The sequence below is a fragment of the Homo sapiens genome, chromosome 12, assembly GCF_000001405.40.
Source record: "Homo sapiens chromosome 12, GRCh38.p14 Primary Assembly".
Taxonomy (NCBI): domain Eukaryota; kingdom Metazoa; phylum Chordata; class Mammalia; order Primates; family Hominidae; genus Homo; species Homo sapiens.
In genome coordinates this window covers 132915807-132931439 of record NC_000012.12, presented here as the reverse complement: position 1 = coordinate 132931439, position 15633 = coordinate 132915807, and the positions used below count along the sequence as shown (strand labels likewise).

The 15633-nt window shown below is 41.9% G+C and overlaps 1 protein-coding gene across 2 annotated transcripts in view; it reads left to right on the top strand.

Moving 5' to 3' along the window:
- Window positions 1–13134, top strand: part of ZNF605 (zinc finger protein 605) — a 38001-nt gene extending 24867 nt beyond the window's left edge. For both annotated transcript variants that reach the window (NM_001164715.2, NM_183238.4), the window contains exon 5: window positions 4278–13134. In NM_001164715.2, the coding sequence (NP_001158187.1) occupies window positions 4278–6067 (1790 nt within the window). In that variant the 3' untranslated portion in view covers window positions 6068–13134. The remainder of the gene's footprint in view (window positions 1–4277) is intronic.
- The last annotated feature ends 2499 nt before the right edge of the window (window positions 13135–15633 follow it).

Below are 15633 nucleotides of genomic sequence, written 5' to 3'. Positions count from 1 at the left end.
GTATAGTAACTCAGGCCTGATGGACATTATCTGAAATTCCTAAAACAACTAGTCCTAAGATTTTTTTCCCCATAAAGAGAGATTGCCAGTAACGTAGTCTGTGTTCTCTGTGGAATTTGTGGTATGCACTTACTTGATTTTTAAAAATTGGTTATTATGGACCCAGATAAGGAAAGGTCTTGTTTATCAGATGTCCCTTCAGTAGAAAAGTTTCCATCTAAGCCTCTACCCTGGGAAATATTTATTTAAAAAATTTTTTTGAGACAAGGTCTCACTTTGTCACGCAGGTTGGAGTACAGTGGCGCAGTCACAGCTTACTGCAGCCTTAACCTATCTGGACTCATGAGCTCCTCCCACTTTAGCCTCCCCAGTAGCTGAGACTACCACCACACCAAGCTAATTTTTAAAAATTTGGTTTTTCTGGAGAGACAGGATCTCACTATGTTGCCCAGGCTGGTCTCAAACTCTGGGTTCAAGTGATCCTCCCGCCTTGGCCTCCCCAAGTGCTGGGATTACAGGAAGAGCCATAATGCACAGCAGGGAAACTGAGATTACAGGGGTGAGGCATAATGCACAGCAGGGAAATATTTCGGGTTACAGATGTCTGGGCACCATTCCCATTGTTGTTTAGGTCTGAGTGTGTGCAGTTTGGAAAAGCTGTAAAGATAGTTGTTATATTCCCCTATTAATTTAGAACCACTTCTCATGTGGAATGAGAGGAATTGAAATGAGTCATGAAATAACTTTATAGGATTTTAATTTAGAAGACAATATAAAACCATAAAATATTTAGTGATGCAGTATTTGAACATGAAGCATTTGTGTTAAAGTGCAAAATTAATTGCCAAGATTAATGATACCAAAAGGAACTATATTAGAAGCTCAATGACAAGTGAATAATATTTATCCTACCTATATTGAGGGCTTGTTATGTGCTATGCAGTGGGGGTACATTAGTGAAAAAGACAAACCTGTTCCCTACACTCATACAGTTTACATTCTACTGGGAGAGACACGAGTAAGAGGATTACCTATTTGATAAGTACTATGAAGGAAAGAAATAAAGAGGGTATTTGTTGGTGTGCCATCAGAATGACATTTTGGTGGGCGTGACATGGTGGCTCATGCCTGTAATCCCAGTGCTTTGGGAGGCCAAGACAGGAGTATTGCTTGAGGCTGGGAGTTGCAGGCCCGCCTGGGCAACATAGCAAGACCCCATCTCTACAAGAAGGATATTAAAAATTAGCCAGGTATGCTGGCACACACCTACAGTCTCAGCTACTTGTGTGATTGAGGCAGAAGGATCACTTGAGCCTGGGAGTTTGCAGCTGCAGTGAGGTATGACCCTACCTCGTCACTCCTTGGGCGACACAGTGATATCCTGTCTCTAAAAAATCACCAAATACTACTTTTAAGCCTGTACATAAACTACTTTATTATTGTTTATCATTTAATCCATTAATTTGGATAGACATATTTATTTATTTATTTATTTTGAGACGGAGTCTCGCTCTGTTGGCACGCTGGAGTGCAGTGGCACGATCTCAGCTCACTACAACCTCCGACTCCCGGGTTCAAGCGATTCTCCTGCCTCAGCCTCCCAAGTATCTGGGATTACAGGCGCACACCACCACGCCCAGCTATTTGTTGTATTTTTAGTAGAAATGGGGTTTCACCATGTTGGCCAGGCTGGTCTCGATCCCTTGACCTCGTGATCTGCCTGCCTCGGCCTCCCAAAGTGCTGGGATTACAGACGTGAGCCACCGCACCCGGCCTGGATAGACATATTTTTAATCTCATCTTGATTTGATTTTAATTTAAAAGTATTGTTTTTCTTTTTTCCCACATCTTATAAAACAATTTTCTGTAAACTCTTCAAGTGGATCTCACACTTGTCTACATATGACTCTTGCTTTTGATCTTCAAACTTCTTTGCATAGTCTTTTTCATCTCAATGAATAGTATTATCATCTTTGTTTATGCCCGAAACACTGAGTCTTTCTTTAATTTTCCATATCAGCAGTTGTGCTTCCTCTGAAATTCTATTTTCTTTTTGAGATGGGGTCTCACTCAGTCACGCAGGCTGACGTGTAGTGGGCTCACTCTCATCTCACACAACCTCCTCCCACCTCAGCCTCCCAAGTAGCTGGGACTACAGGTGTGCACCACCACACCTGGCTAATTTTTGTATTTGGGTAGAGATGGGGTTTCACCATGTTGGCCAGGCTGGTCTTGAACTCCTGGGGTCAAGTGATCCACCCACCTCAGCCCCCTGAAGTGCTGGGATTCCAGGCATCAGTCACCGCAGCCAGCCTGCTTCATCTGAAATTCTGATATCTGAGAATTAGATGAGGCTTTTTCCCCCCTAGAAAAGAGTAGTTTTTGGGGTTTTTTTGTTTTGTTTTGTTTTGTTTTGTTTTGTTTTTGAGCCTGTGTCTCACTCTGTCTCCTAGGCTGGAGTGCAGTGATAGTTATGGGTCACTGCAACCTCAACCTCTCAGGCTCTAGTGATCCACCCCCTCTGCCTCACAAGTAGCTGGGACTTCACGTGTGCACCACCACACATGGCTAATTTTAGAAAAAAAAAATTTGAAGAGACAGTTTCTCCATATGTTGCCCAGGCTAGTCTCAAACTCCTGGGCTCAAGCAGTCCTCCCACCTCAGCCTCCCAAAGTGCTGGGATTGTTGTTGTGAGCTGCCACCAGGCCCAGCCTCGTTTTATATTTGAGACCATGCCAGATCTTTTCATCTCGCAGAGTACTTCCTGAGAATATTACCCCACAATTGCTAGTAAATAATATCATCAAAAAGTCAAGTAAATAAACCTTTAAAATATGCAATAAATGGTCTTGTAGAAATCACAAACAATTGTACTTATTGGATGAAAATATCTGTTCTACTATTATAAAAAAATTATTGTGGTTAGGAGTAATTTCCAGTGATAGCATTACATATACATAAAATATATACTTTACAGATCCAATTAAAGGAGGATGAATGTGAAGAAGTTGAATAAAAGTGTTGATACTGAGCTCTGGAGAACTCTTGGATAATTCCAAGAGGAAGTTTTACTGATGATGGTGAAGTTATTGATATCAGTGATTTAAGTAATGATCCCGAATAAGAATATTTTATAAATGCAATAATAGTACAAAAAAATGTTTCTTATCTTTCAGGTGTAAAGTTGATATTGTACATTTATTCTGCATTATATCCCTTACTTTTTCTATTATACCATTCAACAATATATACTAATGTTGCATTTTTATGTTTTTATTATTCACATTCTTAACTATATTACCTCACTTCTTCTCTGATCTTCTGATACTAAGTTCTGGACACATAGTAGATAATCATAGATTATTGTCAAAAAAGTAAACTAATCACTTCAGTATTTGATTGGAAATTGCTCCAGGCTCTTTCATCTCATGATCACTGTTCTTTGAGTATATTTAATATTTCCTTATTTAAAAGTTCATGTATTTAGCCAGGCGTGGTGGCTCACGCCTGTAATCCCAGCACTTTGGGAGGCCGAGGCAGGTGGATCATGAGGTCAGGAGATCAAGACCATCCTGGCTAACGTGGTGAAACCCCATCTCTACTAAAAATACAAAAATTAGCCAAGTGTGATGGCGCACACCTGTAGTCTCAGCTACTCAGGAGGCTGAGGCAGGAGAATCGCTTGAACCCGGGAGGTGGAGGTTGTGGTGAGCTGAGATCGCACCACTGCACTCCAGCGTGGTGACAGAGTGAGACTCCCTCTAAAAAAAAAATAAGGCTGGGCGCAGTGGCTCACACCTGTAATCCCAGCACTTTGGGAGGCTGAGGCGGGTGGATCACGAGGTCAAGAGATCGAGACCATCCTGGCTAACACGGTGAAACCCCGTCTCTATTAAAAATACAAAAAGTAGCCGGGTGTGGTGGCACATGCCTGTAATCCCAGCTACTCAGGAGGCTGAGGCAGGAGAATTGCTTGAACCTGGGAGGCAGAGGTTGCACTGAGCCAAGATCATGCCACTGCACTCCAGCCTGGTGACAGCACGAGACTCCATCTCAAAAAAATATATATAAACAGTAAAAATAAAAGTTCATGTATTTAAACATTTGTAATTTAAAAGTTCATTTTCATTTCTGTTAAAATTGTCAATGCCCAATAAGTACACATTATTTGAGGGAATTTTAAAAACTGGGATTATGGCGCCATTTCAGAAGCTTTATGCAATAAGCATAATAATTGAAGGAATTACACAGTATGGTTCATTTTTTTCTCTTTTTAGAAGTCTGGCTAGATAATCCCAAAATGTGGCTCCGAGATAATCAAGACAACCTTAAAAGTATGGAGAGAGGCCATAAATATGATGTTTTTGGAAAAATATTTAATTCAAGCATAAACATTGTTCATGTAGGACTGCGATCCCATAAATGTGGCACAGGAGAAAAAAGTTTGAAATGTCCTTTTGATTTGCTTATTCCAAAAAATAATTGTGAAAGAAAGAAAATTGATGAACTCAATAAGAAATTATTGTTCTGTATCAAACCTGGCAGAACCCATGGTGGGATAAAATACTGTGATTGCAGTACATGTAGAAAATCCAGCAACGAAGAGCCATGGCTCACTGCTAATCACATAACACACACAGGAGTCTATTTATGCATGGAATGTGGCAGATTTTTTAACAAGAAGTCACAACTTGTTATACACCAGAGAACTCATACAGGAGAGAAGCCCTATCAATGCAGTGAGTGTGGAAAAGCCTTTTCACAGAAGTCACTGCTCACGGTTCATCAAAGAACTCACTCAGGAGAAAAACCGCATGGGTGCAGCGAATGTCAGAAAGCTTTTAGTAGGAAGTCACTCCTCATTTTACATCAGAGAATTCATACTGGAGAGAAGCCGTATGGATGCAGTGAATGTGGAAAAGCCTTCAGTAGGAAGTCGCAGCTTAAAAGACATCAGATAACGCACACAATAGAGAAACCCTACAGTTGCAGTGAGTGTGGGAAAGCATTCTCCCAGAAATTAAAACTCATCACACATCAGAGAGCGCACACAGGAGAGAAACCCTATCCATGTAGTCACTGTGGAAAAGCCTTCTTTTGGAAGTCGCAGCTGATTACTCATCAGAGGACCCACACAGGGAAGAAACCTTACGGATGTGGTGAGTGTCAAAAAGCCTTCAGCAGGAACTCACTTCTCATTAGGCATCAGAGGATTCATACAGGAGAGAAGCCCTACGAATGCAACGAATGTGGTGAAGCCTTCATCAGAAAACCACAGCTGATTAAACATCAGATAACTCACACAGGAGAGAAGAACTATCGATGCAGTGATTGTGAGGAGGCCTTCTTTAAGAAGTCAGAGTTAATAAGACATCAAAAAATTCACTTAGGAGAGAAACCATATGGATGCATTCAATGTGGGAAAACCTTCTTTGGGAAGTCCCAGCTCCTAACGCATCACAGAACACACACTGGGGAGAAGCCTTATGAATGCAGTGAGTGTGGGAAGGCCTTCACCCAGAAGTCAAGCCTGATATCACATCAGAGAACACATACAGGTGAGAAACCCTATGAATGCAGTGAATGCAGGAAAACCTTCAGTGAGAAGTCAAGTCTCATTCATCATCAGAGAACCCATACTGGAGAAAAGCCCTTTGAATGTAGTGAATGTAGGAAAGCTTTTGCCTGGAAGCCACAGCTTCTTAGGCATCAGAGAATTCATACAGGGGAGAAACCCTATGAATGCAGTGAATGTGGGAAAGCATTTGTTCAGAAAGTGCAGCTCATTAAGCATCAAAGAAATCACACAGGAGAGAAAACCTATGGATGCAGCGATTGTGCAAAAGCTTTCTTTGAGAAGGCACAGCTGATTATACATCAGAGAATTCATACAGGAGAGAGACCATATAAATGTGGTGAATGTGGGAAATCTTTCACAAGAAAGTCACACCTTATGAGGCATCAGAGGATTCATACAGGAGATAAATACTATGGATGCAATGAGTGTGGGACCACCTTCAACAGGAAGTCGCAGCTTATGATACATCAGAGAAATCATATAATATAAAAATCATGACTTTGGCGAATGCAGAAAGGTTGCTATCAAGTGTCATACTTTCTGACACTTTTGAGGATGCATGTGGGAGAGAAACCCTATTGAGGCAGTGACTGTTGAAAAAGCTTGAATTGAGGAGTCAAGAGTCACTAAGCAGAATTTAGAAAGAGAAGTTTTTAAAAAGCAAACAGTGTAAAAAAAGTCATCTCCCAGAAGACACTACTCGTTACATATTGGATGACTCATTGAGGTGAAAACCTTATTAGTGTTGTGATAGTAGAGAAGCTTTTAGTCAAAAGTCAGTTTATTAAATGTTTAGAATACCTAAACAGGAAGAAAATTCTATTGTTTTTTATAACAAAGTGGAAGATTTCAAGAAAGGACAACTCACTGTACACTTGAGAATAATACCTACAGAGGTTCATACTGAAGAGTAGTCTCAATAATGTAAAGAATTTGACAAGCATGATGCTATTGAAATAGTTCTGTAAGGAAGTGGTGTTCTTTATACATCAATTATTACAAAAAGCAGTGAATTGTAAGTGTGAGGTGTGTTTACTTAGATGTGAAGAGTTCTCCTTACTGCTGTGATGGAATAACAAGGGTCAGATTTCCTCTCCTGCCTTAAACAACTGGAAGCTATACAATACGTATAATAGGTAATGGTTTTTAGACATAGGACAAGCACAGGTTTGTGATCCTCAGGAGACTGCAGACAGAGTGAGGTGAGCACCATGGTTTCTCAGCCTGCCCCCGCATGGCAGTTCCTAGGTTGCAGTTCAGGGAAGGGAAACAATAAATCTCGCTGAATTGAAGAGACAGGACTGGCAGTTGGGGAGGCCACAGCAGCTAGAATTTCCAGGGGAAAGTACTGGAGAGATGGGATCCTTCTAGATACAGGGCTCAAGAAGTCTGCTGGGAGTCCCCTGAGTCCTTTGACTTAGTACTGACTTGCACTGAGGCCAGGAAAAGAAGCACTGGAAAGCAGCAGGCTGAACAATTCCTGGAACTCATGCAGGGCTGGGAATAGTTTATGTTCTCAGCAGCCAGAGTGGAAACAGAGTGGAAACACATGGAGCATCAGGTAGAATTCTCAGAAAGGTTTTGTTTTAGTAGTGCAGCTAATTAACTCTAGATTAAAAGCTACTCTGGACCTACAGTGTCCGGCATCCAAAAAAACTAATGTGTTATGCAAAGAAGCAATAAAATATGACTTATAACCAGGAGAAAAATCAGTAGAAACCCAGAAAAGACAGAGGTGATGGAATTAGTAGACAAGGATATTAAAAGAGCTATTGTAAATATAAAGTAGAGGAAAACATAAGATTGATGAAACCTGAGGTATAAGAGATATTTTTACTGGCCAAAATGGAACTTCTAGGGATGAAATCAACTTCTGATTTTGTTAAAATCCCGAGTGGAGAGATTAGATACAGAAAAAGAAGAAAAAATCAATGAACTTGAAGAGTAAGAATAAAAACTACCAAAGTGATATACAGAGAGAAAAAAAGACTTAGAGAAGAGGAAGAGAATAGGAAAACCATTACAGTAGTGTAATATATGTTTAACTGGAGTCCCAGAAGGAGAGGAGAAAATGAAGAGGCATGAAGAAGTATTTGAATAAATAATGGCTAAAGATTTTCCAAATCTGGTGAAAACAATACCCCCACATATTCAAGAAGCTCAAATGACCTGAAGTAGAATAAACATAATTTACATCACAGCAGTGCACCTCAGAGTCACATTCATGAAAAGCACTGATAAACAGAATACTTTTAAAACACCTTGAGAAAAAAAGATAATACATACACATGAACAAAGAATGGCAGCATATTTCTGGTGAGAACTATGCAAGCTATAAGACAATGGAGTATTATCTCTAAATTCCTTAATGAAATAAACAACAAACCCTGCAACCTAGAATTCTGTTACTGTCAAAAACGTTTTCAAAAATGAAGGCAAAATAAAGACTGTTTCTGAGAAACTAAATCAAAGGTAATTTTATTACCTGTAGACCTGTCTTTGGGAAACATTAAAGGATGTTTGAGGGCAGCAGGAAAATAATACAAAACTTAAGTTTGGGTCTGTACAAAGGAATGAAGTTCTGAAAATGGTGAATATGTGGGTAAATATAAAAGATATTTCTCTCTTTTTAAAATCTTTTTAAAAGGGAATTGGCTGCTTAAAGCCAAAGTAATGATAACGTATTTGGAGTTTATTTAGAAGTAAAGTGTGATGACGATAACACTTAAGTGTGAATTTTTAAATATAGTTGAGTAGACTGCATCATCTGAGTTAGAAGCCTATTCCTTCAGGGCTCGGGGTAGCTTGAATTTGTAGCAGGCACATGACAGAAATTGTATGTATTGTGGATCTGCATGTGTGCTGAGTATTCCCTATTTCTTTGATCCCTTTTCCCCCATTTTCTGCTCTGCTCCCCCCTGAGGCTGTCTTCTAGAGACTGGGGTTTCTTCATAGGTTTGAACAGTGGGAGATACCAGAGGTGGGAGGAGAAAAAGTTATTTATTACCGTTCCCTTCCTCCTGCCTGGACCATGGTAGCTTCTGTGTTCCCGTAAGGATACAGCTTCCTTTGGGAAGCCCCATCTATGGCTGTAGATCTCTCGGTTTCAGTTGACACCATTCCCTCTCCATGATCTTCAGACTTAACTACTACTGGGTGCTTCCCCAACCCACTGGTTGGGTGTCTTTAATTGTGAACACATATTTGTAAATAGTGCCTTTATTAATTGTTCTTGAGTTAATATTCTGAGTGTGCCATTTATTTTCTGTGCCATCTGTTAAATGATGAGCATTTAATAAAATTGTGATAATCAGTTATCAGTACAAGTGCCGCATAGTGCATAGGCTGAAATGTCTCAAGATTCCCCACACTACATATCAGTATTTTCTATCTGTATCTGGACAATGCAGTAGAAATTATAACAAATACAAAGTTCTTTGTGCTTTTCTGCTGCATATGTCAGTGGCTCTGGAGATTGTTACCATCTGCTACATATATAAATAGACTTGCAGTTATTACTAAGCTCCTCTTCAGTAATAGAAAGACTTATGAAGTCTTTTACTACCTCTGGGTTAGCCAAACAACCTTCAAAAAGCATTGTTATTTAGGTTAAATATCTGTGGACAAGAAACAAGATAATCAGTTACTGAGTGAAGAAAGACGGGAATGATGTCCCATACTTCCCAGCTCTCTAAAGTGTTATGCTGTACAATTAAAATACCCCTGACCCATCATCTGCTACCATTCGTTGTGGATAATTCATGTAATCTCTAACCTGTGGGCAAGTCTTTACCCTTCAGTAGTCAAGATTACGTTAGAGACTTCGTCCACGAATCCACACCACCTTTCCCATCAGTTCTCACCGGAAATATGCTGCCAAAAAGAAAATCAGCTTTTCTAAGATCAAGCCAGAGTTGCTTCTCTTACAACCTTACGGCGCTAATGCATTAAGTTGAAGTCGACTGCCAAAGAGGCCCAGCAGAGGGCAGCACCCCCATCATTTTTTTGAATTTCTCCCTTAGGAATTTTGCCTTCCTTTGTCTTCTGTCCACCAGGCCTTCTCTCCAGCTGGACACAAACCTCCTTTGAAGGGAAATAATTGCCGTTAGGCTTCACAGTAGTGCTTTTTCCTTTCACTTGGATTTGCATTTTAACCTGCATTTCGAAGATTTTTATACATGTTTTCTATTTCCGACAATGCCAGGAGGCTTCATTGACGTTGTAGTCTGTGTTAATAAACTTGTGTATCACTCTGCTCTGATCTTTTAGGAATTAACTTGCAAATGAAATGAATATGTTGGGACTTTGGCATAATTTGAATATAGCATTGTGTGAGTTGTGATTGTCTCTTCCTAATTGTGCTGTAATAACCTGTGTATGAGAATAAAATGATTTCCACCATCAGGATTCTCCCATGCCCCCCTTTATTTTGCCATAGACTAAAGGGGAAAGGCCATTCTCACTCTCCTTACCTTAGAAAATTTTATTTGCCTCATGATGACTGTCTGCCGCTTAGAAGTAGACAATATAAAATCTCATCACTATTTCACAAGAATAAAATTCAAATCAGTTATATCCAAAGTAACTTTTCAACTGGGGGTGGTGTCTCACACCTGTAATCCCAGTGCTTGGGGAGGCCAAATTGGGAGGACCGCTTGAGCCCAGGCGTTTGAGACCAGCTGGACAACATAGCAAGACTCATCTCTACAAAAAAAAAATTTAATTAGCCATGAGAGGCTGGGTGCAGTGACGCAAGCCTGTAATCCCAGCACTTTGGGAGGCCGAGGTGGGTGGATCACCTGAGTTCAGGAGTTCGCGACCAGCCTGAATAACATGGTGAAACCCCGTCTCTACTAAATACAAAAAAATTAGCCGGGCATGGTGGCACATGCCTGTAATCCGAGCTACTTGGGAGGCTGAGACAAGAGAATCACTTGTACCTGGGAGGAGGAGGTTGCAGTGAGCCGAGATCACGGCATTGCACTCCAGTCTGGGCAACAAGAACAAAACTCCATCTCAAAAAAAAAGTTAGCCATGATGGTGCATGTCTGTAATCCCAGCTACTTGGGAAGCTGAGGCAGAAGGGTCACTTGAGCCCAGGAGTTCAAGGCTGCAGTGAGCCATGATGGGGCCACTGCATTCCAGCCTGAGTGACAGAGTGAAACCTTGCCTCTTAAATGAATAAAAATAAAGTAAGCTTTCTTCAACAAGTTTTCTTCCAACGCCACACACTCCATCACCATATTAATTTAAATTATTTAGTATGTAGCAGATTTACTTTGAGACCAAATCTGTGAAGTTGGTGATGATATTTAATAATTCTTTATTTCCCTTATGGGATCTTTGCAACTTAGAACACAATTATTACTCATTGTATCCGGGTCATTTAACATCTTGTCAGAATGCTAACATTAAATAAACCAGGCCAGGCGCGGTGGCTCACGCCTGTAATCCCAGCACTTTGGGAGGCCAAGGCGGGTGGATCACGAGGTCAGGAGATCGAGACCATCCTGGCTAACACGGTGAAACCCCGTCTCTACTAAAAATACAAAAAATTAGCCAGGTGAGGTGGCCAGCGCCTGTAGTCCCAGCTACTCAGGAGGCTGAGGCAGGAGAATGGCGTGAACCTGGGAGGTGGAGCTTGCAGTGAGCCAAGATCACACCACTGCACTCCAGCCTGGGTGATAGAGCGAGGCTCTGTCTCAAAAAAATAAATAAATCAGGCGCTGGGCGCGGTGGCTCACACCTGTAATCATAACACTTTGGGAGGCTAAGGCAGGCAGATCACAAGGTCAGGAGTTCGAGACCAGCCTGGCCAATATGGTGAAACCCCATCTCTACTAAAAATGCAAAAATTAGCCGGGCTTGGTGGCACGTGTGTAGTCCCAGCTACTCCGGAGGCTGAGGCAGGAGAATCGCTTGAACCCAGGAAGCCGATGTTGCAGTGAGCTGAGATCACACCACTGCACTCCAGCCTGGGTGACAGAGCAAGACTCCATCACACACACACACAAAAAAACAGGGAACACCAAACTTATTTAGTGATACCTAAATCTCGAAATGTGCACAGCAAAAAGAATGTAGCTATCGAGGCATTCACTGTTAAGATGAAAAGAAATGTAAGTGAAGGGACATTTATAACTTGAAGTTCTCATTTAAGAATTACTGGCCAGGGCCGGGCATGGTGGCTCATGCCTGTAATCTCAGCACTTTGGGAGGCCAAGATGGGTGGATCACGAGGTCAGGAGATTGAGACCATCCTGGCTAACAAGGTGAAACCCCGTCTCTACTAAAAATACAAAAAATTAGCCGCGCGTGGTGGCGGGCGCCTGTAGTCCCAGCTACTCGGGAGGCTGAGGCAGGAGAATGGCGTGAACCCGGGAGGCGGAGCTTGCAGTGAGCTGAGATCGCGCCACTGCACTCACTCTGGCCTGAGCGACAAAGCGAGACTCCATCTCAAAAAAAAAAAAAAAAAAAAAAAAGGCATTACTGGCCAGATGTGGTGGCTCATGCCTGCAATCCCAGGACTTTGGGAGGCCCAGCTGGGAGGAGAGGAGAGCTTGAGCCCAAGAGTTTGAGGCCAGCCTGGGCAACATAGTGGCACTTTGTTCTCCACAAAAATAATTAATAAAGCAAGTAAGCATTCCTATCACTAAAAGTACTTAAAAAAACAAATCAAGCTTAAACTTACAATAGGGGGTGGGAGAAGTGAATTAACTTTTTATTTTCATTAGTGCGTGCTCATGTGAAAGGAGCAGTTAGGCAATGGAGTGTTACCACTGCAGCCAGGCAGGTCTAGTGTAGATTCGTCCCCAAACCATGGTATTTGCCAGGCAGCTCTGAGGGTATGAACAAGGCATGTGCATTGTGTCCTGTTGTGTGTAATGCGTTTGTATGAAGCAGATTCTGTAAGAAGATGATGTTGGCTGAGATGTGGGCCAGCTGTACTTCACTGCTTCATTACAAGGGTAAGGCTGGCCAGGTGCGATGGCTCACGCCTGTCATCCCAGCACTTTGGGAGGCCAAGGTGGGTGGATCACTTGAGTTCAGGAGCTCAAGAGCAGCCTGGCCAACATGGCAAAACCCTATCTCTACTAAACATACAAAACAAAAAAAATAGCCGGGTGTGGTGGAGCACCTGTAAACCCAGCTGCTCGGGAGGCTGAGGTGGGCAAATCACATGAACCCAGGAGTTGGAGGTTGCAGTGAGCCAAGATGGCACCACCACTGCACTCCAGCCTGAGCAACAGAGTGAGACTCCGTCTCAAAAAAAGAGAAAACAAGGGTGGGGCTAAAAGGCTAATAGCTAACTGAAAATGAGCAGCTGTTTTTCATTCTGTGAGGAGCATCTTGTATAAGCCGTAGTGTTTGATCCACTCATCATTGCATGGGCAGCTGTGCGAGGTCAGACCTGTTACTGACACTTCCTTCTGTGCTCTGTTTGAAAAGAAAATCTCTGTATGCAAATGTTAACTGAGTAAACTGTTTCATGAATTCATATGTGTGAGTGTGATCACTGGGAGCAATTTGCAAATAAACTCTGGTTTCCATTCCAACCAGGTATCCCCAAATTAAATCTGAATTATCATCAGTTTTCAATTTGTTGTCATCCATAAGCATCCAGATACACCCCCACACCCAAAGAAGCAGCTGTTCCCTTTCAGTTTCTTGTCTGTTCCTTTTATCCTCAGTGAGAGTGAGCTGAAACGTCTCCAGCCTGATCCTGTCTACTTAACCCCCTTCCTTGCAGGACCACCCACTTCTGTTAATTTTTTACACCCCTTTAACTTTCCTGCTTTAGGACAATGAACAATTAGCTGTCATTTGGTCCATCCCATAGGCAATTATGTGGGTTTGTTTTCTAAAGCACTGGTAACTATAATTAGATGGTTCAAATAATATTAAAAACTAGTGTTTTCTATGGCACAATTATGCATTTGTCAAAATATACACAACTTGCCCGCTGCAGTGGCTTATTCCTGTAATGCCAACTACTAGGGTGGCAGAGGCGGAAGGATCACTGAGCTCAGGAGTTCCCGACCAGTGTAGGCAACATAGCAAGACCCCATCTCTCTTTTTTTTTTTTTTTTTGAGATGGAGTCTCACTCTGTCACCCAGGCTGGAGTACAGTGGTGCGATCTCAGCTCACTACAACCTCCGCCTCCCAGGTTCAAGGAATTATCCTGCCTCAGCTTCCCAAGTAGCTGGGATTACAGGTGTGCACCACCATGCCCAACTAATTTTTTGTATTTTTAGTAGAGACAGGGTTTCACCATGTTGACCAGCCTAGTCTCGAACTCCTGACCTCAGGTGATACACCTGCCTCAGCCTCCCAAATTGCTGGGATTACAGGTGTGAGTCACCACGCCCAGCCAAGACCCCATCTCTAAAAAAAAATTTTTTTTAGGCTGGACCTGGTGGCTCAAGCCTGTAATGCCGGCACTTTGGGAGGCCAAGGCGGGCAGATCACGAGGTCAGGAGTTCGAGACTAGCCTGGCCAATATGGTGAAACTCCATCTCTACTAAAAATACAAAAATTAGCTGGGCGCAGTTGTGGGCTTCTGTAACCCCAGCTCCTCTGGAGGCTGAGGCAGGAGAATCACTTGAACCTGGGAGGCAGAGGTTGCAATGAGCTGAGATCGTACCACTGCACTTCAGCCTGGGTGACAGAGCAAGACTGTCTTGGAAAAAAAAAAAAAATTTAGCCTGATGTGGGAAGCTGAGGTAGGAGGATTCCTGGAGCCCAGTCTGAGGCTACAGTGAGTTATCACACCATTGCACTCTAGCCTGAGCAACAGAGTGACGGAGTGAGTGAGACCCCATCTCTAAAACAAAACAAAAGCAAACACACACAACTTGATATAAAAAAGTAGGCCAGGCACGGTGGCTCACACCTGTAATCCCAGCACTTTGGGAGGCCGAGGCGGGCGGATCCCAAGGTCAGGAGATCAAGACCATCCTGGCTAACACGGTGAAACTCCATCTCTACTAAAATATAAAAAAAAAAAATTAGCTGGGCGTGGTGGCAGGCCCCTGTAGTCCCAGCTACTCGGGAGGCTGGGTCAGGAGAATGGCGTGAACCTGGAAGATGGAGGTTGCAGTGAGCCGAGATAGCGCCACTGCACTCCAGACTGGGGGACAGAGCAAGACTCTGTCTCAAAAACACACACACACACACACACACACACAAAAGTAGATTTTACCCTTCTAACGTGTACATGAGAAATAAGGAAAGATTTTTAAATCAGTAATTTAAGTTTCTACCTCAGGAAACTAGAAAAACAAGTGCAAAATAAATCCAAAACAAGTGCAAGGAAGAAAATGATAAAGAACTGAAGTCAGTGATTGAAAATAGGACAACTAAAGCTCATTCTTAAAAAAATTAACAAAAATGATTAACTTATAGCAACATTGACAGAAATAAAAAGATACAAATCACCAGTATTAAAAATGAAATACTTTATTACAGACCTTGCCAACATCAAAAATAAAAAAGGATCTCTACTAACAACTTCACACTTATAAATTCAACAGCTTGGAAGAAATGGATTAATTTCTTAAAAACCACAAACTACCAAAACTCACCCATGATGAAGTTGAGTATCGAAAAGCCCTATATCCAGTAAAGAAATTGAACTACTAATGATCTACCCAAACAGAAATCTCTAGGCCCAGATGGAGAACTGTACCAGTCATTTAAAGAATAATTTATATCAGCTTTACATGATATTCCAGAAAAATAGAAGAGGGGGAATATATCTCTCAACTCATTTTATGAGGCCAGTATTACACTACCCTGATAACAAACCGAAGACAGCATGACTGCATGCACACGTGTGCACACACACACAACTACAGGCCAATATCTGTCATGAACTTACATGTGAAAATCCTCAACAAAATATTTGAAAACAAAATTCAAAATATATAAGAAGTATGCACCATGACCAAGTGGGATTTATTCCACGTATGTAAGGGTAAGTTGAATATTTCAAAATACATCAATGTAATTCATCTTTAAAACTGTACAGCAGGCCAGGCGCAGTAGCTCACAC